The sequence below is a fragment of the Homo sapiens genome, chromosome 12 (assembly GCF_000001405.40).
Source record: "Homo sapiens chromosome 12, GRCh38.p14 Primary Assembly".
Lineage (NCBI taxonomy): Eukaryota > Metazoa > Chordata > Mammalia > Primates > Hominidae > Homo > Homo sapiens.
In genome coordinates this window covers 13,564,788-13,590,723 of record NC_000012.12, presented here as the reverse complement: position 1 = coordinate 13,590,723, position 25,936 = coordinate 13,564,788, and the positions used below count along the sequence as shown (strand labels likewise).

The following is a 25,936-nucleotide window of genomic DNA, read 5'->3' as shown; positions in this document are numbered from 1 at the left end:
GACACATGCACACATATGTTTATTGCAGCACTATTTACAATAGCAAAGACTTGGAACCAACCTAAATGCCCATCAATGATAGACTGGATAAAGAAAATGTGGCACTTACACACCATGGAATACTATGCAGCCATAAAAAAAATGAGTTCATGTCCTTTGCAGGGACATGGATAAAGCTGGAAGCCATCATTCTCAACAAACTAGTGAGAAACTAACACAGGAACAGAAAACCAAACACCACGTGTTCTCATTCATAAGTAGGAATTAAGCAATGAGAACACATGGACACAGGGAGGGGAACATCACACACCAGCACCTGTCGGGAGTGGGGGGCTAGGGGAGGGAGAGCATTAGGAAAAATACCTAATGCATGCGGGGCTTAAAACCTAGATGGGGAATTGATAGGTGGAGCAAACCACCGTGGTACGTGTATACCTATGTAACAAACCTGCACGTTCTACACATGTATCCCAGAACTTAAAATAAAATAAATAAATAAAAATTTAAAAACTAGGTCTTTCTTAAGGCCTTCCCTGCTTGCATGGCATATATTGCCAAAGAATTTTCTGTTCCTTCAGACACTCAGAAAAAGTAAACCTAATTTATTCTACTTCAAGCTCTCTCAGAGACTTAGAGAAGAGCCTTAGTTTCATTGCAAATTATTGATGCAGCCAGATAATTTATAACATTTCTAAGTTTTTAATTAATACCCATTTTGACTACTGTGTTTAGCAATAAAGTTGTTTTTATTGCCATAGTTGATAGTCTATCATAATCTGTCCACTATTAAAGGAAATACTCTCTCTGAAGGCCCCTTGCCATTTGGAAAATTCATAGTAATTTCAAGTTAGATGTGAGTTTGGGAGAGGCCGAGTCCCAGTGGTTTTAGTTCCTGAAGCTCCTCTTCTCCATTCCCAGCCCAGAGAGCTTGTCTTCCAACCTCTATACCACATAGGGTTTTTCCTGGCAAATTCATTCTTAAAGCATACTAGCTATTAATGTGACTTATCCTGTGTATCTGTTAGTTGCAAGTAGAATGTAATGATGTTCTCTAAATGAGGGATACAAGTCAGTTTCATTGCTTTTCAGTCTCACCGCCTACTTTTCATTTATTCATTCATCAGATAGATTCTAAATACTACATAGCACTTACTGGAATAGAGTACAGGAAAATCAGAACAGCTCTGCATAAACATAATCTCTGATCTTTTTGTTGGTACTAAGGTTAGTGTCCAACCACCTAGTCTATCTCAGGAGTCCTTAGCATCTGCCAGACTGCCTATAGCTAAGGCCTAGAGGCCCTCAGAATAGAAAAGATCAGTAGCTCTGTTTTGTTATCTCAAAGTCTCTAGAAACTGCCACCCTCAATCACCTTGTAAGCCCCTTGTTCAACTTGGATTCTACCTGTTACCAAAATCCTGCTCCTGTCCTCATTTCTTTGAATTAACTAAAGCCTCTGTTGTATCATCTACCTGGCTTTTAAAAGTTACTATATCCTCTGCATTTAAAATAATACCTAGTATATAACAACAATTAGCTTAATCGTTATTGAATAGTTACTAGTTAATCTTTGAATAGAGCTAACAGATTTAGCAAATAAGAATACAGGACACCGAGTTAAATGTGAATTTCAGGTAAATTGTGAATATGATTTTAGTATAAGTATGTCCCAAAATGTCATGGAAACCCTACCTTGTGAGACGTTGGAGATATGCTGAAACAGCCCTACTCTCAGAGTCTAGTGAGGGAGGCAGACACTTCGTTCTTAAAAAATAGGATGGTAAATACAACAGAGGAATTTCCTCTTTTGCTCCTTTCAAGGCTAAATATAGTCTTAATCTTTTACAAGAAGACTTGCTCCCCTCACTTTTAATCATTTCTGAACCTTCTGCTGTGAGTTATGGAAGAGAACACACGGTGGTCAGAAGCCCTCCTACTGGTGTATAACGCAGCCTGACCACATCCATTCCACATATTGCTCTTTAGCGTCCAGTGACAGGCTCTTTATTTTAAAAAAGCAGCACTGCATTATGTATGCATGCAGTATGTGGTCAGGTAGAACTGCATGATTTTTCTTGAGCATGCATTTGACAAAGCCTGTTCCTGTCCCTTCTAGTTCTAGTGCAGTGTGGTTTTACATCCTGTAAGAATTATTTTGTATGCTTCCTAATTTAACTTCATCCTTTTAATATCTTCTTTTGTCAGGCCAGACTTACTGTTTTGATGTTTAATTCTATTTCTCAAGTAGCCATCCATCCAATCCAATTTGATGCCTACAGCAGGTTTAAAGAGCAGGTTTTTTCATCCTGTCACTTAAGTTATTAAAGAAAACAAGACCCTTCCCTGTGTGTTTAATAAGTTGCCCCACACTCCCAACAACTGGTCATGTCTATCCTTTCACTAAGTATCTCACCTGCCTAGTGATGGAGCCTCTTATTTGAAAGAGAAACGTTTTATTTTACAGCATTCTTTGCTGTAGGTTAGAAACATTTTCCATTTGTTAATTAGCTCCTGCCTTGGAATTTCAAGAATTTTGAAGTAGGCTACCTTCTCTGTAATCCATTGACAAAGAGAACATGAGATGCACATTTCAGACCATGAAAAGGATTCAGTGGCCTGGTCTCATGATAGAATTATCATGGAGTTCAATAAGACCATTTGTGAGTAACTTCCCACTAGGTAGGTGAGGAAGTATCCCAATTAGTGAGTCTGTTTCCCTCTAATTTGCATGTTTAAACTATATTAAGGCTGGTGCAAAAGTAATCGCGGTTTTTGCCATTCGGTTTTGTCATTAAAAAATAATTACTTTTAATGGCAAAAACCACAATTACTTTTGCACCAACCAAACAGGTGTGAAATTGACTCATCGAGAATATTTCCCCAAATATCTGTTACAAATCAAAGGCAAGCTATTATACCAGTAATACTATTTCTTCAGCCCATTTGCTTACTCTAGAAAAAGTGTCTGCTCCAAGCCTGGGATGAAACAGGACTTCTGATTTTAAGTGGAAAAAATAAATGTTAATATGTTTTTCCGACATAAACTCGAAGTTGTTCTTCTGAAAATTCAGCTGGGTGTGGTGGCTCATGCCTATAATCCCAGCACTTTGGGAGGTTGAGGTGAGAAGATCACTTGAGCCCAGGAGTTTGAGACCAGGCTGGGCAACAAGACAAATATCTGTCTTTACAAAAAAATTAAAAATTAGCTGGGCATGGTGGAAAGCACCTGTAGTCCCAGCTACTTGGGAGGCTGAGGTGGGAAGATCGCTTGAGCCCAGGTTAAGGCTTCAGTGAGCTGTGATTGTGCCACTGCACTCCAGCCTGGGCAACAGAGCAAGACCCTATCTCAAAAACAAAAACAATACAAAAAAAAAAAAAAGAAATAAAAAGAAAAGAAAAGAAAATGTACATCAGGCTAGTGGGGCTAGACTCAGAGAGGAAGATGCTTACGAGTGGTATATTGTTAAAGACAAGGGTTTCCAGGGAATGACCAGTCTAAGTTCAGGCCACCAGATGAGTATCTGATCTAAAATTTGGAAGAGGATCTAAAGAAAGTTTACTCTTCTCTGTCCTTCCATCTTTTTATATGTTAATAGAATTTATATGTTGTATGGTGTGATATATTAATATTTAACATATTTATAATATTTAATTGTCTCTTCATACTAGACTGTAAACTCAATGAAGGCAAGAATTTGTCTGTTTTGTTCACTAATGGATCTGCAGTAATTAAAATAGGGTCTCGTACATATAGGTGCTCACATATTAATAGATGAATTAATTAACCAACTAGTCAATGAATGAATGAATAAGAAGACAGTTATGTAATTCATATAGTGTCCACAGCATAAGGCAGTACTTTTCACTCTTTATTAGCCATGTGAATTTGAGAACAGTGAAAGATAGTTTCATGACCAATGGTTGAGGGGGAAGGAAGAGAGGGTAATGTAGATAAGAAATATTTGACATTTAGAATCCCAGATAGAATTTTCTCACCTTGTGGTTTCTATGCCTGTCACACCATCTAAATCGGGCAGGTATTTCAGAAGAGAACTGAGTAAGTGAGGTCTCCAACTGTGCTGCTATGTGGCTTGTCGGATCTTAAATTATAAAGTTCTTTCAGGACCTATTTGGCAATGACTTCTTCAAAGCCCCTGATTATTCCTCGGCTCCTGTGTGAGACAGGCACAGGAGTCCCCTCCTTGTATGCATGTGTTAAGCCTGCCCTGTTCTTTGAATGGTGAGGCATCGGCTTCCCAGTCAGCCAAGTGTTTGCTGAGAACTTTCTATTTTCATAGGAAAATATCGCTTCTGTAACAAAAAGTAACCAACCCTAAAATAACTATGTCCCCTTGCCACTTTTAGAGGGGAAAAGATATAATGATAACAAAGAAAGCTTATATAAAGAAATTATTAAAAGTAATGACAGTTTCTAGGATATTCCTGGAATAAGTACATAGTAAACATAATGTCCTAAACCATGTATGGTCTTTTGTGTCTTAATTTCTGTATATCATTTACCTCCCTGTATCATGACACATAGCAGATGCTCACTGAATATGTTTGAATGACTATAGTTTAGAATGATTTTCATCAAAAGGGTTGAAAGTAAGTTTTTTGGCTTAACCCTTAGTCAACTGGAAAAATTGAACTTCATTTTTCTACCAACATGGTTATTGATATTTCACTTTTGTAGCAGTCACCTTATAATAATTATGTTTGCATTATAATTGGAGGTCCATTAAGGACAACTGAAGTACACTGGCATCCCATTAGTCCTAAAAGCCTGAGACATGGAAATGTCTGCCGTATCTTGCTGTCGACTGTTCAGGGCAGCTCCTGGTGCAGAGTAGGTACTCAATACATGTGTGGAGACTAAATTAAAAACAAAAGAGATGGAGACAGAAGCAGACAATGGCTGTTTGGTCTTCGATAGGTAATGAATTTCCCAGGCCTCTGTTTCCTCCTCTGTACAGGCAGAAAGTTGCTCAACTGGCATTTCTCAAACTGTTTCATAGCCTATGAGTGTTCTGGGAAACATAATGGCTATTCTTGAGAAAAAGAAATCCATGGGAAAATAAGTTTGGGGAAATGCTGTGTCAGGGTTACATAAGTTTCTTTACCAAAGGATTGTTCGAGTCCTCTCCTGTGATGGTCCGTTGTGAACCCCGAGGGGCATGCAGTGTGCGTGGTGGGATCGCCAGGCTGCATCCCAATACTAACATTCCATAAACCGGAGTGTCCCTCGCATAGGGCTGACTTTATTGACCAAAGGAAGAAGCTCTGCTGGGCTGTAAGTGGGTCACAATGTGACAGTAAGTACACATGCTGGCATTTCCGTGCCTCAATTTGGAACTGACAGATCTGATTGATTGCCAGGAGGGCAGAGACACACCTGTCCCCCTGCCTTGCCTGTCACTGGATCCTCACTCACCCTGGCCTCCGCCTGGCGGAGGTCTTTGACATTTCCGCCCCACCCCAGCTTCATGACTCTGAAGATGCTGATACCGTATTAGAACCTCAGGTGATTGTGCTAATAACTGGAGAACCCTAAATTCATTGGGAATCTTGCATGTGGAAATCTTGGTAGTCTTCTTTATCTTCTTTATCTCCTCCAAAATTTTATGAGCTGCTGAAGCTCCTGGTACAACTTCAGAATCCCAGTTTCCATGGTGAATCCATCTGTCTTCTTTACTTGAAAGCTTCTTTAAAGGCCATTTCTCTTTGCTAGCACCCACAGCTTTTATAAAATATCTGGAACAATCCCTTGTACCCTCCCAAGTTGGTCTGTGAGGTAGAGTGCAGTGGACAGTAATAACACCTCTTTGTAACAATCTTGTGTAAGAATAGGTTGAAGGAGCTCAACGAAGGCCACCTGTCACACACAGGATGACTTAAGGATAAAACTCAAATGCCTCTGTCCTTATGCCTCTGTTTCACTTCATCTCCATGTTATCATAATCATCTCTAACTCTGTCACATTTTTGGTGCCAAAGAAATATTCATATGCATTGTCAAGTCCTAAGTCTGACAGGCTCTTGCGGGATTTCAGATCTGATATATTTTGTGAAGGAAAAATGGAGAAAGTGCCAGGAAAGATGTCCTTGACTGGCATTAGGACACATTAACTCCTTATTCACCAGAGATGCTAGGCTTGCCCTAGATCTGAGGAATGTTAATGCTCAACTGTGTGTTGCATGATAATGTATCAACAGCTAAATAGTGCACTTTGAATGGAGTTTTTCATATAATAAATATATCCACATGTGCGATTCAATTCATTCATTCTTTAAATCACTCATTCATTCATATTGAGAGCTTACTAAGTGTTGGATGCTTTTCTAGGCACTAGAGATACAGCAGTGATCAAAACAGACCAAAACTGTGTCCATTATATTACATTCTAAGGAGGAAAGGGCAGAAAATAAAAAGGCAATTAAGTCTGGCCCAAAGTTAGTGAGGGATCAATATATGTGGATATCCAGGGCTTTTGGGGCAGAGAAGAGCATGTGAGGGTAGGAGCTTGCCTGGTGAGTTTTAGAAACTGCGAGGAAGCCAGTGTGGCTCCTGAGGAGTGGGTGAGGGAGGAGAGTGGGAGAGAAGGTGGTGGGGATGAGGCTGACTCTGCCGCTTCCTCTCCTTCGTTCTTCTGAATGTATAGGCAGACTTGGATTCAGTCAAGGCTTCCACTCTGATGTCTTTCTTTTTCATTTATCCCTCCCATTATTTTCCCTCTGAAAATAGTCCAGGCTCTTAGTAGTTTTCCAGTAAACGTCCCTTCTCTAACCTCTCTGTTCTTCGAGCCATGCTGCTTTAGCTGAACAATAGCTACACCTGAGCACTGTGGGGTTCACAGTGTCCTTCCTCAGTCTGACCATTCGGTGTGCTCCATGGGATGGTTTCTATCTAGGCGCCAAACATTCCTCCCAACGTCAGTGCAGATGCCATGCTCACGTCCCAGTGCTTCTTTTCTCATGCTATTTCGCTTGCCCCATCACCCTCCCCAGACCTCTTTGCCTGGATAAACTTGGCCAATCTGGAGGAGTTGGCTCCATCTCTGCCTGCTCTGTGCAGCCTCCCCAACCATATCCTTTTGTAATGATTTTCACTCCCTCTAAACTTCCGTAGCCCTTCCTTTCCTTACCTCCCATTGGATAGGCATACTAATTCAGGCACTGGATTCCTTAATCTGTACATTTTCTGAGCATCCATTCTATTTGCATAGAGCCCTGTGGTGTGTTTTACAGTTAAATATGAGTATCCTGCATTTGAATCCTTGCTCTGATAGTTTCTAGCTGTATGGCCTTATTCAAATTACTTACTGTCTGTGCATTAGTTTCCCTGTCCATTAAATGGAGATAATAATGCCTACCTCATAGCATCAATGAGAGGATCAATGAGTTACTATACGTAAATTATGTGACACATGGTGAGTGCTGTAGAAGCATTAGCTGCTGCTGGAATTATATAATTATCATCATCATTATTTCCAGCTAAACTGTAATGGTAGGGATTGTATCTGTTGCCTCATTTTATTTCAGAGCTCAGTGGCTTATATGTGGTTTATGCCCTTTAAATGTGTGCTACTGATGTGATATTTTATGGCCAGACACAAGACTTTGCCAAACACTTAAAACCTCAAGGTGCAGGTTATGATATGTTAAAGTTAATATAGTTAATATAGGAATAAACCCACTTTCTTGGCTCTGCTAACTCAGGGACCAAGCCTCAGCTAGCTAACATGCCATTATCTGATTTTATGAAATATTTCAGGAAATATTAAGGCTTATGTATCCAAATTTTATAAAATACAAAAGAAGTGACTGCCTTATTGCATTAAAACCATCGTTGCGAGGAAAACTGGTAATTAACTAAATTCCAGGAATCTGAAGAACTGGTGTTTTATTTGCTGCAAGCTTTTGTTTCGGCTCCAGCAGGAGGGTGATGACAGGAGAATAAGTTCCAGTCCTCACCACCCCCACCCTTCTAAGACCTATTATAGAACCCCAGCTCCACGTTGAGTTCAGAGAGGCACAAAATTCCTTCCCCAGCAGCACAGCATCCAGAGCTGTGAAGATACAGCCTCGAATGACAGCACAGCCAGAGGCAGGAGAAAGGCCACTTACCAGCCTTCTCACATCCAAGTGCAGGTCTCTTCATATGTAAACTTAAGGGTGTTTGCCACTGTAGGCAATTATAGCACTAATGTTAATAATAAGAGGAAAACAAGCAGAAACAATTAAGGTGTTGAATGCTTATTATATGCCAACTCCCTTTTTGGCAGTAGCAAAATGTCGTCAGATTCATCAGGGGCCCAGGAAGAGAACAGAGTTAATTTGGGCAATTTTCCTATATACCGGTAGCTTCTAACTACATTCTGCAATATTATTGTTTCCATAATTCAGCCATGCCTTTTGAATGAATTTGAACAATATTCTCTCCAATGAACACTTTATAATGAAATATAACAATAATTATTTATTCCTCTTACCTCCATTCCAGATTCTTTCATGGAGGTGAAGGGTTTAACTTTCTAATCTGTCACCATATCCACAGCCAGTTTGTTTTAGGGGTAGGGTCTTGGGGGGCCACTCCAGGCCCCATGTTTTGAGATGGAGGATTTGTAGTGAGATGCTATACCTTATTTCTCCTTTTGGAACATTGTTAAAATTCAGTTTCAAAGCTAAGTGGCTTGTTTATTGAGTCACACAGTTAATAAGTAGTAGAGCTCAGATTTGAACTTAGATCTTTGAGCCCATAACCCATGTGTTTACTTACGTTTTATCAATAAATTGTCTTTTTTTTTTTTTTTTTGAGACAAAGTCTCACTCTGTCACCCAGGGTGGAGTGCAGTGACACGATTTTGGCTCACTGCAACCTCTGCCTCTTGAGTTCAAGCAATCCTCCTGCCTCAGCCTCCCGAGTAGCTGGGACTACAGGCATGCGCCACCACACCTGGCTAATTTTTGTATTTTTAGTAAAGATAGGATTTTGCCATGTTGTCCAGGCTGGTCTCAAACTCCTGACTTCAGGTGATCCACCTACCTCAGCTTCCCAAAGTGTTGGGATTATAGGTGTGAGCCACCATGCCTGGCTAAAATTGTCTTTTCACTGTAAGCACAGATTACCTCCTTTTCACATCTGTCCCAAGCACTTATGGGCCATGGAACAGTGAAGGAGCTCATGCTCTCAGAAAGTCTACTCCTTGTGTGGTCACCTGACCTTCTTCTTCTCCCACTGGGCCCGACAAGGGATTATGGTAGAAGAGGAGAGAGGGTGCTTCCTGCAGCCACTTCCTCCCCTCTCCAGATGCTGCCCAGAGTCTGGAATCACACATACATATCCCTTCACCCTAATTGGGCCATAGGGTATTATTATGGAAGATTTAGTGATGGAAAACATGGTTTGGTGCAACACCCCTGGGCTAAGGAAGATAATGTCAGTTTCTGTACTTGCTTGATAGTTCCTGGAAAAACTGAGAAGATCAAAAGATAGAAGAGCTGTAAAAAACTTTGGGAGCATGGGGCATATGACTCATCCCTCCCACCCCTGAATATTTACCTTAGAAAAATGAAAACATGTTCACTCAAAAACCTGTACATGAATGTTTACAGCTGCTCTATTCATAATTATCTGAAAGTAACTCAAATGTCCTTCAATAGATAAATGGATCAACTGGTGCATTCACATAATGGAATACTACTCAGCAATAAGAAGGAATGACCTACAGATACATGCAAAGGCCTGGAGATGAATCTCAAAGGCATTATCATAAGTAAAAAAGCCAGTCTCAAAAGGTTATGTACTACAGGATTCCATTTATATGACGTTTTAGAAAAGGCAAAACTATGGGATAGAGTGGCTGGAGGTTAAGAGCAAAGGGAGTGTGTGACTTGAAAGGAGTGGCACCAGGGAGCTTTTTGAGAAATGGAATTGTTTTGTGTCTTGATTGTGGCGGTGACTGCAAGATTCCATACCTGGTTAAAATTCATGACAATAAAAGTCAATAATTTAAAAGTACTATTAAAATATAAAATAGGGTAATGACAATAATAACAGGAGGGTGCTGAGTAGGTAAAAATGTGGTGTCTTCAGAATTCTGATGTGCTGCCACCTCCTCATAATTAGCCCAGGCCCAAAGCCATTCACATCTCCTAAGCCTTTCCCACTTTTTCTCTTGGGTGCCTGGAAGGGCTGAGTGGCATTTGGGCATTGATTCTTTTTGTGATGCAAATGTAAAATCAGAAGTAATGGAATGAATATTTATGTGTAGGATTGTCAAGCTTTGAAGACAAAAGCCCCCAGATTCTATATCTCATATGGATGGATCCCTGCAAATAGGATGTGCAATATCCGCCTCTGCAAGGTCACAGCACTGGTTTGTCCTAATCTGCATATGCTGATTGGACACAGACTGAATGAGTAGAGCCATTTTTCAGGGAAGCCAACTACCCAAGAAGGCAGTTCCTCACCATCCTCTTCATTTTAACAGAGCTGCTTTCATTTATGTGCTGTTATTCACCGGATCTGACTCTGATTATTGTCCTTGGGACTGGGTGACAGCTGATCAGGAGATGGCCTTGACTGGTGGTCAGAACGACCACTGCTTTGACACCATCAGTATTTAGGACATTCTTGGTTTTGTTTTCAGAATCTGCTCCTCTCCTGGTGCCAGGACCTTAAAGACTTCTCAACAAGTATGTTTCTTCATTCTCACCCTGGAAGCTAACCAGGTTGGAGGAGTCTTAAAGCAGAGAGTTCCTCTGGTGTAAATTGATGTTAACGCCCCATCGCCACCCTTCCAAAGCCAATCCATCCTCCCTGCCAGCTTCAATTCAGCCTCCTTCTAGAAGCCTTTCAGGAAATTTATATGTCAATGGCGTGCACCTCTGTGGTCTTGTATGTTAGCTAGTAGTGTAGGGAAATATCTGACAATGCGTCTGTTCCTTCTTATCCGACTGTAGCACCCATACCCTCACCAGAGCTCAGGGCCTCTTCAGCTCTTGTCTCTCCATCTTACTCCTTTCAACCTGTTCTGCACACCAGCACCTGGTGACTTTTTCTAACACAAAAACCCAATCTTGTCATTCTGGCAGAGTTCTTCAGTTGCTTCCAATGGCGATGATGAAGATGATGATGACAATGATGATGATAGTAATAATGATAGTAACAATAGCTAACATAGTGTATTTATCAGCCAGGCACTGTGCCAATACTTTGCCCAGATTGACTGGTTGAATACTTAAACTTTATGAGGTAGGTGCTATTAGCAGCCCATTGTACAAATGTAGAAACTGGGGCACAGATAAGTTAAGTGAGTTGATCAAGGTCACACAGCTATCAAGTGGCATAGCTGGGATCTGAATCAGGCAGCTTAACTCCAGAAGCTCTGCTGTTTCTCATCCCTTATATTATGAACTCTAAACTCCTTTGCACAGAATTCAACTTTCTTTGTGATCCAGGCCCTGCTTCCTTCTTCAGCTGTGTCAACCTCCTGTCACCATGGCCATACCTGCTAGGCTCTGGCAACAATAAGCTGCTCGTGGTCTCTGATCATGCCCAATCTTTCTCACCACCTTGTGTCTTTGAACAGACACTCGTCTCTATCTAGAAACCATTTTGCTCCTCTTGTTTAAATGGTTAAGTCTTAGCCCCAGTGCACAGGCTCTGGGACACCATCGAGACAGCCCCCTTGTTCTGTTCTCTCACTGCTGCATGGGCACAGCTGCTCATAGCACCCGCCACATTATTTATAGCCCCTGGTCACACCAAGCTTGTTCCCCCATGTCAGAACCTTTGCATTTGCTGTTTCCTGAGCCTGATACATTTTCCCCCTTGTCTTTGTATGTCTGGTTCTTTCTTATTATTCAGGTCTCGGTTCAGATGCCACCTTCTCAGAGAGGCCTTTTCAGGACAGCCAGTCTAAACTTGTTCTCCTACCAATCACTCTTTATCCTATTATGCTGTTTCAATTTCTTCCTAGCACTTCTTTTTCACTATTTGAAATTATCTGTGTTTCCGTCACCTATTGCTACACAGCAAACTAGCCCAACACTTAGTGGCTTAAAGCAAGAATATTTTATTATATTTTACTGGTTTGTGGGTCAGATATTTGGGTAGGGCTTGCCTGAGTGATTCTTCTACTTCATGTAGCATGACTGATATTCAGTGGGAGGCTGGGCTGGAGAGTCCATAATGGCTTTACTCTAATGCCTGGCTCTGACTGGAATGGGTAGAAGTCCAGGGCTCAGTTAGGACTGGAGATGGGAGCACCTATAGGTGGAATCTCCGGCATGGTGGCCTCAGGGTTTTTGGACTTCTGACATGGTGCACCGATTCTCTCAGAGCGAGGTTTCCAAAGGCCAAGGTGGAAGCTGCAAATCTTCTTATGCCCTTGTCTCAGCAATCCCACAATGTTACTTCTGTCAACTTCTACTGGTTAAGCAGGTCACCTAGGTCAGCTAAGAATCAAGGTAGGGAGGGGACATGGACCTGTTTGTCATAGAGTGGCAAATAATTTCTGGCAGACTTTAGTCAACCGAATGGGAGGCTGAGGTAGGAGGATTGCTTGAGGCTGGGAGTTTAATACCAACTTTTACAACATGGAGATACCTTATCTCTACAAAAGATTGTTTAGAAATTTTAAAAATAAAAAACAGGCTTACTGTTTGCCTCTCTTCTTTATAATGTGAACTCTTTGAAGGCAAGATCATACTCTTCTGCAATACTGCATCTTCAGCACAGGCATCTCCTCTGTACACAATAAACACCAACAAATACTTGCTGAATGCTTATATAAATGAATGAAATCAATAAATACATGAAATGAAAAAGTAAATGGATGAAAAACTGAATGAATGTTTATGTTTCTGACTCTCTGTAATGCAAACTCCTTGAAAACTGGGTCTGATTTTTTTCATCTTTGTATCTCTGTTCCTAATACAGTCTCCTGCCCTAATAGATGCTGGGCAAATATTTGCCAAATGAATGGATGTATTTTAATTATCATAGTTAAAGGAGATAATGTAACTTATACCCAGTACATACATAGGTATTGAATAAGAGTGGCAATTATTAATGACTTACAATGCCTAATACATAGGAAAATCAATTTATATATTAAAAATGGACCAGATCCGTACTTCCCTTACTTGCTCCCCTCTTCCTTTCTTTCTCCAGCAGGCTGTATAAGAAGCTCTCTAGCGGGGAGGTGGCAGCCAAAACAGCCCAGGACCCTAGTGTCTGCTCATCTCTGGGTGGGGGCCTTGACTCCTGGCCCTTGAGCACCTTTCTCCTTGCATGGCTGCTGAGACTAATTCACTTTGAGGTCATTAAGATGGAGGCTGAGATGATCTGAACAGCTCAGAGGGCTGAATTCTGATTCCCTGCTGCTCTCCAGGAGGATCAAATGAGATTACAGCTCTTTTAACATTCTGGCATTGTTTTGCCCTTGTGCAAGTGTGTGCTCACAAGCAATTGCTGGAAGCCCTGTGTTAAATGCGGTGGGAAGGATGGGAATTGGCATTTGATTTGCCACAAAAGGAAGATACTCTATGTGGCCCCACTTACAGTGTGTGGCTTCACTCCCTAGTAGGCAGCAGTAGGACTGTTCAGCTAGCATTTCAGCTGGCAAAAGGAAGGCCATACTCAGGGGTCAAGTCTCAGCTTGTCCTCCCTCTACACTGTGTCTACTGGAACGACTTGATCTCTTCAGGACTTCGGTTTCCTCATCTATGAAATGGGGCCTGTCCTGTCTGTGTTATTTTCCTATCCAAATCTATGTGTTGATAATTCCAATCTGGGTGACTCCTAGAAAAAGATTCCACATTCAAGGAAGCTCTATGACCAAAGGTGATTAATAAAGAGTACTGAGCCCAGCATGGTGGCTCTCGCCTGTAACCCTAGCACCTTGGGAGGCCGAGCAGAGCGGATCGCTTGAGGCCAGGAATTAGAAACCAGCCTGGCCAACATGGCGAAACCCTGTCTCTACTAAAAGTACAAAAATTAGCCAGGTGTGGTTGCTCACATGTGTAGTCTCAGTTACCTGGGAGGCTGAAGTGGGAGGATCACCTGAGCCTGGGAGGTTGAAGTTGAGGTTTCAGTGAGCCAAGATCGCAACACTGCACTCCAGCCTGGGTGACAGAGTGAGACTCTGTTTCAAAAAAAAAAAGAAAAAAGAAAAAAGAAAATAAAGAGTACTATACACATTTCCCTACTTTGAAATCAGACTGAGTTTTTTAATTCAATTACTGAGCTCCCTGATATATTAGGCTTTTAAATTTGTTTAAAAATTATTTTTTCAGGGTCCTCACTGTTCTATTAATGTTAAGACATTCTGGTTCTTGACAGCGCTAAATTTTTCTCGTTCCCAAATTGCCACTCAGGCTAAGCAAGTGCCATATAATGTCTTACAGCTTGGGGTAAGTTTTATTACAAGGGCATTTTCTGGAAGCATCAGGATATTTGGAAATTATTTTTCCTTCTTCCCCACGGGCCTCCCTAAACAGTTCTCCATGAATGTGAATTTTAGTACAGTTCAAGTTCCAATGACAGTATAAAAAATCTCTGTTTTATGTAAACTTCACAGATCTCACCAGGCTGGGACAAGAATTTTCAAAAGAAAAGGCAAACTCACTGCTTTGGCTAATTCTGAGGCAATGTTCTCTCCCTGTTGGCCTCCAGACTGGCCTAGTTTAAGGAACAAATTAGAGAATAAGAATTTTCAAACTTAGGGAACATTGCCTTACATAGGACAATTTTAAATGTTAGAACTTCATCTCCATAGAAGCAACTAAGAATTTTAAGACTCCATCATGTGCCAGGTATTAAGTATTTTTTTTACATATTATCTTATTCATTAAAATAATACTTCCAGAAAAGAGGGTAGGTCCATAAATTTAAGGAACTTGCCCATGTTCATGCAGCTGGCCTGAGACAAAGCTGAAATCCAAATCCAAATTCTCTGCCTCCAAACCAGCACTTCCCTTCTTCCCAGTACTGACTGCTTGGTTTTTCTGATTATTTTGATTATTATTATTATTATTATTATTGTTGTTATCATTTTGGAGACAGGGTCTTGCTCTGTCACCCAGGCTGAAGTGCAGTGGCACAATCTTGACTTACTGCAACCTCCACCTCCTGGGCTCAAGCAATCCTCACACCTCAGCCTCCCAGGTAGCTGGGACTAGAAGCGCATGCCACCACGCACGGCTAATTTTTATATTTTTGGTAGAGATGGGATTTCACCATGTTTCCCAGGCTGGCCTCAAACTCCTGAGCTCAAGCAATCCACCCACTTTGGCTTTCCAAAGTGCTGGGATTACAGGCGTGAGCCACTGCACCCGGCCCGATTATTTTCATTTGAAGGATGCCTTAACTATATAAGTCTTGCTATGTTATTATCTAATTCCTTTAGTGTTTTAATAGCTTTAATTTATTTTCAAATACTTCTTCCCAGTCGGTGGCTTATCTTTTTTATGATTTTAACTGCATCTTTCAAAAAGTTCTTATTTTTATGAACTCCAATTTATCGTTTACCTTTTTTGGTGGATTGTGCTTTTGGTGTTGTAGCTAAGAAATCTCTGTCTAACTCAAGATTACAAATATTTTCTCCTATATTTTCTATAAGTTTTATAATTCTAGTATTTACATTTTAGATATATGATCCACTTTAAGTTCTGTGTATCTTATGAGGTGTGAAATGAAGTTCCTTTTTATCAAACAGATGTCTAATTATTCCAACACCATTTGTTAAAGGCCATCCTATCTCCACTGAATGGCCCTTGCACCATATATGTGGGGCTCTGTTAGTGGGCACTCTATCCTGTTCCAATGATCTGACTGTACGCTAATGCCACACTCTCGTGATTACTGTAGCTTTATAATGAATCTTAAAGTCAGGTAGTGTAAATCCTTTAACTTTTTTTTCCTTTTTCAAAGTTATCTTGGCTATTCTAGACCCTTTATCATTTCTTTAGCTTTTATTTATTCAGGGATACAATTACAAAACAGGATTTAGAAATCTAAAAATAATTTAAAATTAAAAATTACTATATAAAGAGCTGTATGAAAACTACCTATAATGTAGCTTCATCAGGAAGTGAGGCCCTCTGGGCACTGGATTCCATTTAGTTACCATAAAATTTAGTTGCAGATACCTTGCATGGATTGCCATTTTTTTCAGAAAAATTAAAGTGTAATAATTTATACCAGAATTGTATTGGACATGATTGCAATTTTCACTGATGTTTCAGAAAATACCTTGGGCCCTAGAGTATCTTAGTCATTATAAACATCAGTTGTCATTGTCCTAGTATTGTGGGGAATTACTGATTAAAAGGAGTTAATTAGTTGTATTGCTATCTACCATAGTTATTTACTCTACTTTTGATTTGAGGAATATCTTTCTTCAAACATCTGAAGTGTTGTATTTGATAGTGGTATGCAAAGCATTCTGGTGTCTGTCTCTTCCAATAAAGCATATCCCTATTTACTTTAAGCTTGCTATCTGCTGGAGACAGTGAGGAGTGACTATTAATTAGGCGAATTGAGCTCTGATCTGTTAGCTATCAATGCCACTGTGTGATGTGGAGCAAATTACTTACCCTCTTTGGGTTTCATCATTTGTCAAATGAAAGGTTTGGGCTAGTTAACCCTGAGTGGCCCATTTGGCTGTAGATTTTTCTTACTCTTTTGTAGTGTCTTTATCCACTTAAAAATTATAACCCCTTTCAAAATAATCAAACGAAAACTTCTAATGTCAAAAAGCCCTGTGATGAGTCAGAGAGGGAGCTTTCTCAGTCAGGAAGTAGTAGTTGTTTGGTGCATCACAGATTGCCTAACACCACGGCATGACTCTAGTTTTAACCATGGCCAGCACTGAGCAATTAAGATGGCATTTATGGCTCCTGGTGCTGAGATATTTTGTGGCCCATGGAACTCCCATATTCTAAGAAGGAAAAGAATTACTTCTAATCCCAGGCAATCCCAAGGCTTCAGAGTTCTCCTGAGTTGGCAGGTTAGATTTTCAAATGTTTCTCCAAAGTAAATGGTACTATTACTTGAAACCAAGAGGACTTCAAATATCTTCATTGTCGTTCCGATGCCAAAGCACAGCACAGCTACAATGATCATTGCTGTACTAATAGAATAAGAAGCTTAGAGAGTGGGTTTACTAGGAAATGCAGAATAGAGACACAAATTAAAAATAATATAAGAGAACATTTATTGGGCACCTACTGTGTGCCAGGTGCTGTGCCAAGCACTTTATTTTTGAGACGGAGTCTCTCTGTGTAGCCCAGGCTGGAGTGCAATGGCATGATCTCAGCTCACTGCCTGCTCTGCCTCCTGGGTTCATGCCATTCTCCTGCCTCAGCCTCCGGAGTAGCTGGGACTACAGGTGCCTGCCACCACGCTCGGCTAGTTTTTTGTATTTTTAGTAGAGACGGGGTTTCACCATGTTAGCCAGGATGGTCTCGATCTCCTGACCTCGTGATCCGCCCGCCTCGGCCTCCCAAAGTGCTGGGATTACAGGCGTGAGCCACCGTGCCCGACCGCCAAGCACTTCTTATGCATTATATTAGTTAATCCTCACAACATTCTTGAAAATTAGGCATTATCATCTCCTTCTTACAAATGAGGACAGGATGCACAGAGCGTTTATGCTACTTGCCCAAGGTTACACAGTGGTAAGTGGCGGAGCTGGTCTTCAATCCGTATCTGTTTCAATCTAGAGTTTAAACTCTTAATGATGACATCAGAGACGAGCTAGCACATTTAGAGAGTAATTGCATGTGTAGGATTACAGTGATCTAAACAAAGAATAACAGGTTCTGATGGGTCACTTTGGGGTAGACTTGATGGAAGAAAGAATTCACAGAAGATTTCTTGAAGAAATTGTTTTGAGTTTTATTTTGAAACGGATATAAATTGGCCTAGAGAGACAGATGAGTTGGCACTGAGGAGATGGACTATATGAGGCTGTGAAGATACAAATGAACAAATTTTGTGTTCAGGAAGCAACATAAAGACTTACGCATTGCAGGGTGATAGCCAGAAATAAAGCTGATGTCATAGGGATGAAAATCCAAGAGGTTTCTCTTTATTATAATGGGCACTGGAGATGTACTCTCAGTCTCAAGCAAGAAAGGGAACATAATTAAAATTGTCTTTGATTGTACAGTTTATCCTACAACTCATGTGGGATAAATATGAGCTTTCAGTGCATCAGGGAAGGTCAAAAGAAAATTTCTTAGCAAAACATATTTGATACTCAACAAATTATCTTCAGGAGTACCACATAGCTCACCTCACTAAGGCCCTATGGACAAAATAGTGCAATGACTGTGTATTTAGGCCTTTAAGAGGCCTGAATACAGATTTTACATATTTTTTTAGAAAGAAAGGTGACTAGCCCACTGCAATTAAGCCACCAGCACATTCCTTTGGCCCATCAACACTGGTATTGTGTAGTGTACATAAAAGGAACATAGAAGGGTTATAGATTAAAGTCAGGGTTGGGCAAATAGAAATCTCTCAGCAATATGTACTAAATTGAATTGAATTGAAGTCTGCTTTCAGATAGCAATTGCTGCTCTTGAGTGAGGGCTAATGTATTCGGTGAATTATAGTTGGGTCCCTTCCATTATAAATCCACTAATGCTAACTTACTTAATGTCTCTTCACATTTTCTAAAATGACTTTTCTCTCTCTCTCTCCCTCCATCTCCCGCTCTGTCTCTATCTGTCTTTCTCTCTCCAGTTCCAGAGACCTAATGACTTCTCACCCCCTTTCCGCTTTGGGACCGTGCCCAACGGCAGCACAGAGAGAAATATTCGCAATAACTATGCAGAAATGCATGCCTACATGGGAAAGTTCAACCAGAGGGGTGTAGATGATGCATTGCTCTCCCTGAAAACAGGGTAAGAACTGCTTCCAAGCTCAGAGTCCTTGATCTGTTTCTCACATTTATTAAGCATACTATTGAATCACATGCACTAGGTATACCATGCTTGGTATCATAAAATGTTAAAGAAGACTTCATTTGCTCTTTATGGATTTCCAAGTTAAATTTGATCGTATCATTTAGACCAGTGTACAACGATTCCTATGCTATTACTTCTATGTATTTTTTTTACAAATTATTTTCTAGTTGCACTAATGTAACCATGAAATAAGAGTGAAATAAATGTAGAAGTAGGAGGGCAGAGTGAAGGATAAGGTATTTGTGCCGTGTATGTAAAGACCTGTTGTCCAAGAGGTGAAAATTATGGTTCTGGTGTCTTATGGACAAGGGAGAAATAAAAGGGGGAAAGTGTAAATGTTTTTAGATAATTAACAGTAAGAATGCGTTGACTGATCTCCAGTGCCAGCTTGTGTTAACATACTCTGTCCTCTAGGGAGTGTTTGTCCATTCATAGGAGTTCATGACCTACACATGTGTTGGCTTGCACAGTCCCAGCCACACTGGTCCCTTTGTTCATTTGGCCTCCACAAGCCACAGCTATGGAAGATAATGGATAACAGAGCATTATAGATGTTGGGATTTGGAGGTCAAGGGGTCTCGTAGCTGATTTTCTTTGTTGTATGATGACTAACAGCACTTGGACCTTGTCTCAATACCCTTGTAGCTCCAGGTCTGGAAAAGGCACCTAGATAAATGGTTACTTAAAATACTGTTAGATTCTATTTTATCACCATAAATACAGTCACAGAAGATTTCAGAAGATGGAATTTGAGCTTGAAGGTAGGGCCACTTTGGGTAGTCTGACCACTGCTACACCCACTGTTCTCATTCATATCAGGGATTTGGTTTTTTGGTGTTCCCCTTTCTATCGGGTACCTAACAAGGTGACTTAACTAATAAAAATGAAGGGAATAATGGTGTTGCTTTTCTTTCTTGCAGACCTCTCTATTGCCTGTAAGGCTATATCTAAATTTCTTCCTCTACCTTTGATATGTTTAAATGTTGGTTTTAAATATTGATTCATGCCTTCCTGCCCCTACGCCTGGTCTTATTCCCTTTTTTATGTATTTCTGCCTTGCAAAGCACAATACATAAAATGAAGTTCTTATATGTTTAGGAACTATATGCTGTAATTTATGTATTTGAGAGATCTGAATTCTTCTGTATTTTGCTTTCTCTTGTAGTTTCACTCATCTGCTCTTACACAAGCCTGTACTGCCACCACCTCAACCCCTCACCTCTATCCTTGTGTTGCACAACAGAATACTGGAACCTTCCTGACCACAAAAATAGCATTGCACATCTATTGAAACACAAACACCTACACTTATCCCCACTCCAGACTGTAATAAACTGAGAAATGAAAAATGTTATATAAATCTAACCCCATGCTATTTGTTGCTCGTTGCAGTGGTTACTTTTCATTATTTCTGTTATTATTTTTATTGATCCCTTTTTACTCCTTCTTCCTTTCAGACACAGTTTATGAGTTGGCTTCAGGCCCAACTTACATTCTCATCATTCCCAGTGGGAAGAAAAGAACTCCTCCTTTCAACCCAAAAGCACATAAAGAACAGCCTGGGATTTAGGCTTTAGATTCTGGCAGAGTTCCAACTTAAACCTTACTTTGAACCAATTCTCCACATAGTTTTCTGGAACCCTACTGCTTCATATTAATGGCCCCACAGGTAGTTTTGTTCTAAAATTCCTCCATTGGATTTGTTTGCTTTTTTCCTGTACAGGAAACTGGATGCCTTCATCTATGATGCAGCAGTGCTGAACTATATGGCAGGCAGAGATGAAGGCTGCAAGCTGGTGACCATTGGCAGTGGGAAGGTCTTTGCTTCCACTGGCTATGGCATTGCCATCCAAAAAGATTCTGGGTGGAAGCGCCAGGTGGACCTTGCTATCCTGCAGCTCTTTGGAGATGGTGAGTTCAAGAAAGGGAAAGTGCCCATTTGTCCTCTACTGATGGCCAGTCCAAAACATCAACCTTTCCTTTTCTTCCATTTCTTTAACCTGTGCATTTCCGGAAAAGCATTTCACAGTATATTGTGTAGTTTTCGGGTATATATTTGTTTCCTATTGCTGCCATAACAAAGTGCCATGCACTGAGTGCCTTAAACAACAGAAATGTCTTGTCTCACATTTCCAGAGACTAGACGTCTGAAATCACAGTGCCAGCAGGGTCAATCTCTTCCGGGGTCTGCAAGGGAGAATCTGTTTCATGCCTCTCCTATAGTATCTGGTGGTTTGCTGATAATTTTGGCATTCCTTATCTTGTAGAAGCATACCCCTGACCTCTGATTCATGTTCACATGGTGTTTTACCAGTGTGCATGTTTTCCCTCTGCACATGTCTGTGTCTGAATTTCCCTTTTTCTTAAGAATGCCAGTCATATTAGATTAGGGGTTCACCATACTCTGGGATGATCTCAGCTTAATTATGTTTGCAATGACTCTATTTCCAAATAAAGTCACATCCCAAGGTATTGGGGGTTAGGACTTCAACATATATATTTTAGGGGGATTCTATAACATCTTTCAACCCATAACAAGCTGAAAGATGGCAGGGAGAGGATTGAAGCAGTTTGTCAAGGAGGTCTTTTTCTGGGTTGCAGGCTATAATCAAACCTTCAGGGATAAAGTAGGAGAACTGATATTAGATGTTTCATCCAGTCATCTCACATGTGGCCAAAATAATAGATGGAACTGTGGAAGGTCTCTGCTCTTTATGTGCCCAGAGGTAGGGCGGAGAAATAAACTTGCGGCCATCTCTTCATTCTTCCTGCTCTCCCATCTTGCTCTTTCAGCTGGAAGAGGCAGAAGGCAGGGTTAGGGTCCTCAGAGGCAGACACCATCAGCCACTCCCCAGTATCATCCTGGCAGCAGACTGAACCACCAACTTGAGTTGAAAAAAATCTCATCTTCTGTTTCATTATATTCCTGTCTTCTGCATCCCTCTTCACTTTATTGTACAAAGAAACTACTGTTTCTGTTAGCATTACAGAAACTAACTCAGTTGTGGATGAGCAGCCAGACCCTTGTTGGCTTCACCAGCCATCAGCCAAGTGGCTATCTCAATTATGTCTGCAGCTTTGCTGTTAAGGATGAGATCAGAAGCAGAAGACCACAGGTGGATTTTTAGAATCCAGGTGAAGTTGTCTGCTCCACTAGTTAGGAGAATCATAGTTTGATCAAAAAAATAAGGGAAAAGTGATTTGATTAACATTGGAAACAGGAGGATGTTTTAGCTGGAGTGTTACCAAGCCATTTTGGTATAAGAGCTTCTGTAATTTTAGTGTAGCTGTCACTCAAAGGCAATAATGGAGACTGTATCCATGAGAAAGAGATGATTTGCAAAAGTTGCCAAAACTTTAGTCAGATTATGCAAGCAAAGTTCAATTTTTTAGCCAAAGTAGAACTATGGGAATAGGCAATTTTCTCCATGAGATTTTTCAGAATTTTGCTTGTCTAGAATTAGATGCATTCTAGGGCACATGGTTTCTTTTACTTTCCTTTTGTCTGGGACCTCTTCCTACTTCCTCCTACTTCCTAGCATCTGGTGAAGTGGAAAAAGGTCATTGAAATCTGACATGAGTTAAAGTGATCAAAGCACCGTTAAACAATGTGTAAAGAAGGCAAGTCTGAATTTGGGGGTCTTATTTTATCCAAGCTTACTCCTCTTTGCTCTTTATTTTCTTCAACAAGAGATCAGTAAATCTGAGGGGCCCTAGGGAATCAATCAATCTCTCTGCCCATCTCTCTCTGCTTGTCTTCTCCCTACCCAATCTGCTTTGCACAATTTTAAGGGCAATTTTCTGAATCACTCGTTTGATTATGTTATTCCCCACTGTCTATAATATAAAGTACAGAATGCTTAATCTGATACTCAGATCTTCAGCACTCTTACATCACTCTTTTTTATTCAGCTTCTTTTGCCTACTATACCTTTTTCTGTTTGAACTGTTCTGCATGCCTTTACTTAAACAAGCCTTGTGTGTTCCCACCGACCATACTATTCCTGCTGCCTGGAGTGCCTTTTTGTACAATGTAAATTAAAATTCATCCATCCAGCATGCCCACTTCCAACTCCTACTTACTTCACGAAAACCCACTGGCCATGCCATCCACAGAATTACTGTCACCAATTTGGACTCTTGTTACCTGCAGACAGCTTGTCATTGTGATTATTTATATGCCAATTTATACAGGCTAGATAATGGAGAGCGGGAGCAACGTCTCATGTGTTCATATCGCCTGCGGTACTCATGTGAAATTTTTATTGAATGCTTACTAAGTACGTTGATGAATTAATATGTAATGGCATTAATAAGATTACTGTTAACTTTATTCATTTCCTTTCTTTTTGTCTCCTTGTCTCTTTTTCTGTCACGTATCTTTCTCTTTCTTGCTCAATACTCCTCTTTCTCCCTTTTCTCTGCTCCTTTCCTGTCTCCTCTTTTTATCCATTTTCCTTCTCTGTCCTTTCCCCAGGGGAGATGGAAGAACTGGAAGCTCTCTGGCTCACTGGCATTTGTCACAATGAGAAGAATGAGGTCATGAGCAGCCAGCTGGACATTGACAACATGGCAGGGGTCTTCTACATGTTGGGGGCGGCCATGGCTCTCAGCCTCATCACCTTCATCTGCGAACACCTTTTCTATTGGCAGTTCCGACATTGCTTTATGGGTGTCTGTTCTGGCAAGCCTGGCATGGTCTTCTCCATCAGCAGAGTAAGTGTTTTGATTTAAATGCCTAAAGCTTGTTAGGGACAGCTTAGCCTAGCACTGTGCAAAGCAGAGAGAACCAAGAGGACACTATCTCCACCCCCATGTTGCTCAAGCAAGAAACCACATCATGTATGTTTTCTTAGGAGTTTGTGTGATATGATTGCAAGTGGCTCAGAAAAGTGGGTGATACTATATTTCCTTCAAGAAACAGCTTTCTGTGTGGGATTTGGGCAGTTGGTTCTCTGTAAGAACTGACAGATCTGTCAAAATGGAAAATTTGGCTTTTTACCAAATGTCTTTCATCACCATTAGTTGGTTCTGTATAAATTGTATTAACTGTCTAATCCTTTAAAAATGTACATTTCTATTTAAATAATCATATGTAACATATCTCTCTTATTTTAACATACAAAGGTATATTATTAGTTGTTTCACTCTATGTTTTAACCATGTGTTGGTTATGGAGAGTTGAAGAGCTTAACAGAACCTTTAGAAATAAGCTCTGACTCATAAGAAATTTACATTCCAGAAACTTCCCTAGTTGGAGCAAGAGTAAAACTCTTAGGTCATTCTTTATTTAGGTCTCCTCTTCATTCCTAGTCTAAAATGAGACACTAGGAAGACAGTTTTATGTATGAACAGGTCACAGGGAGAAGTTTTTTTAAAAAGTGAGCTTCTTTTGGTTTTGTTAATAAAGTGGAGAGACTAAGTCATGAGAGGTGAACTCAAATGTCCTTTTAGAATGAAGGTCTAGGTTCCAGATATGGCCAACCAACTTTGACTCAAATGGAGTTTTGTATTAATGAGAAAATTGATTTCTCGTTAAATTATTTCATCTTTTCATCATTTTCCTATAGTATTTTACTGATAGAGAACAATTTCTCCGTGTCCTTTCTGGCTGTGAGTTAATTCAGGCCATCAGGTGAGCTCAGAACAGGAGGCTGGAACTTGGGGTGGTGATGATCCCTGAGCCATGTTGCTTCCTTGGTAGCCCTTCCCTAAGATCTCAGATAGGGGAACACCAGAAGCCATGGGAGCTGGTGATGTGTAATAAAAACCCCATTTATAATCCTTTGACATGATCAATGCCTCTATAGAGGAAAAAAGGCTTGGAATTTTCTCTTGAGCTTAATCAGGAAGGGTTAGAAGAACTGGGAAAGTGGAATAACCTTACCTTGAAGATCTTCCATCTTGCTGATGCCCTGTGAGACAATGAGACTTACCTTGTCTAAACCTTTCTTCTTTCCCATTTCGCTACGATTCTTCTAACCCTCTCCCCTCTCATTCCCATCCACGGAGACAACTTCCCTTTCCAAATTAGTCCCGTTCATTATAATGACACAATTCAAACAACCTCTTTTCATATGCTTTCCCTAGCCAGGGAGAAAAGTTCCAAGTTTGTCCACCTTTCCAGGCAGGGAACAAGATGTGAGAAGGAGGTTGGCTTGACTTTAGAATCAAACATACTGAGCCCTCCAGGAACCCAGCCCGTTGCCTCTCCTGCACGGTGTCCTTCAAAGCCCTGTACAAAGAGCTGTACACAGGGAGCTCTCGATCAATACTAATTTGTTAAGATGTTAATTATTGATGATAATATTAAGTGAGTGAGAAAGTATAAGAAGGAAAACAGGAGCTAAAGAGAGAATAAATGAGAGAATTCAACAAGGGAGTTATTTATTCCTATTTAGTACTGGCTGTTTTTCCCAATTCTTCCCTCCCACAGTGTAGAACACAGCAGGAGAAAAATCCTTCTTTGACCCCAGGGCTTGCTAATTCTCTCTTTCTGTGAATTTTGTTCATGCTTGGCTCAAGAAGAGAATTGCTCAGCTGTTATTTGGTGACCAAAATTCTAAACCTGCTTAAAATTTGTCAGAGCTAGAAAAGAGTGACAGTTGTAAGCTACTGAGCTCCCCTGTGCTTTACTGTCAGCCAGGTGTGGCCCAGCCACAGCAGAGCAACCTCAGTGTCCATAGAACATGGCCGTTTATTTCCAGGAGGCTGATGATATTTTTTGCTATGGGTTGATATCATGGCCTCATTTTTAAGATGTGAAAATCTAGGCATAGAAAACCACGGTAAGTCAACAGTGAAGCTGAGGCAAAAATGCCATATCTTATGATTCCAGTCCCTTTGCTCAAGTTACTGGGTGGGGCCATGCCCCCCCCTCTGATGGCCAGGTCACTGACCTCAGCTCACCACATGACAGTCACCAAATTTAGGGGTATAAATTAGGCAAACTT

The 25,936-nt window shown here is 40.6% G+C and overlaps 1 protein-coding gene and 1 long non-coding RNA gene across 6 annotated transcripts in view; one reads left to right on the top strand and one right to left on the bottom strand.

Annotated features, from left to right (window-relative positions):
* Window positions 1–8,693, bottom strand: part of LOC105369668 (uncharacterized) — a 38,041-nt gene extending 29,348 nt beyond the window's left edge. For all 3 annotated transcript variants that reach the window (XR_001749013.2, XR_931373.3, XR_931372.3), the window contains exon 1: window positions 8,492–8,693. This is a non-coding gene — a long non-coding RNA (uncharacterized LOC105369668). The remainder of the gene's footprint in view (window positions 1–8,491) is intronic.
* The window catches only part of GRIN2B (glutamate ionotropic receptor NMDA type subunit 2B), a 444,798-nt gene that overhangs the window by 391,411 nt on the left and 27,451 nt on the right, over window positions 1–25,936 (top strand). For 2 of the 3 annotated variants that reach the window (NM_001413992.1, NM_000834.5), the window contains 3 exons: window positions 18,760–18,920; window positions 20,707–20,894; window positions 23,461–23,699. In NM_001413992.1, coding sequence (NP_001400921.1) covers window positions 18,760–18,920; window positions 20,707–20,894; window positions 23,461–23,699 — 588 coding nt within the window. The remainder of the gene's footprint in view (window positions 1–18,759; window positions 18,921–20,706; window positions 20,895–23,460; window positions 23,700–25,936) is intronic. The other variant, XM_005253351.3, reaches the window with a different exon arrangement.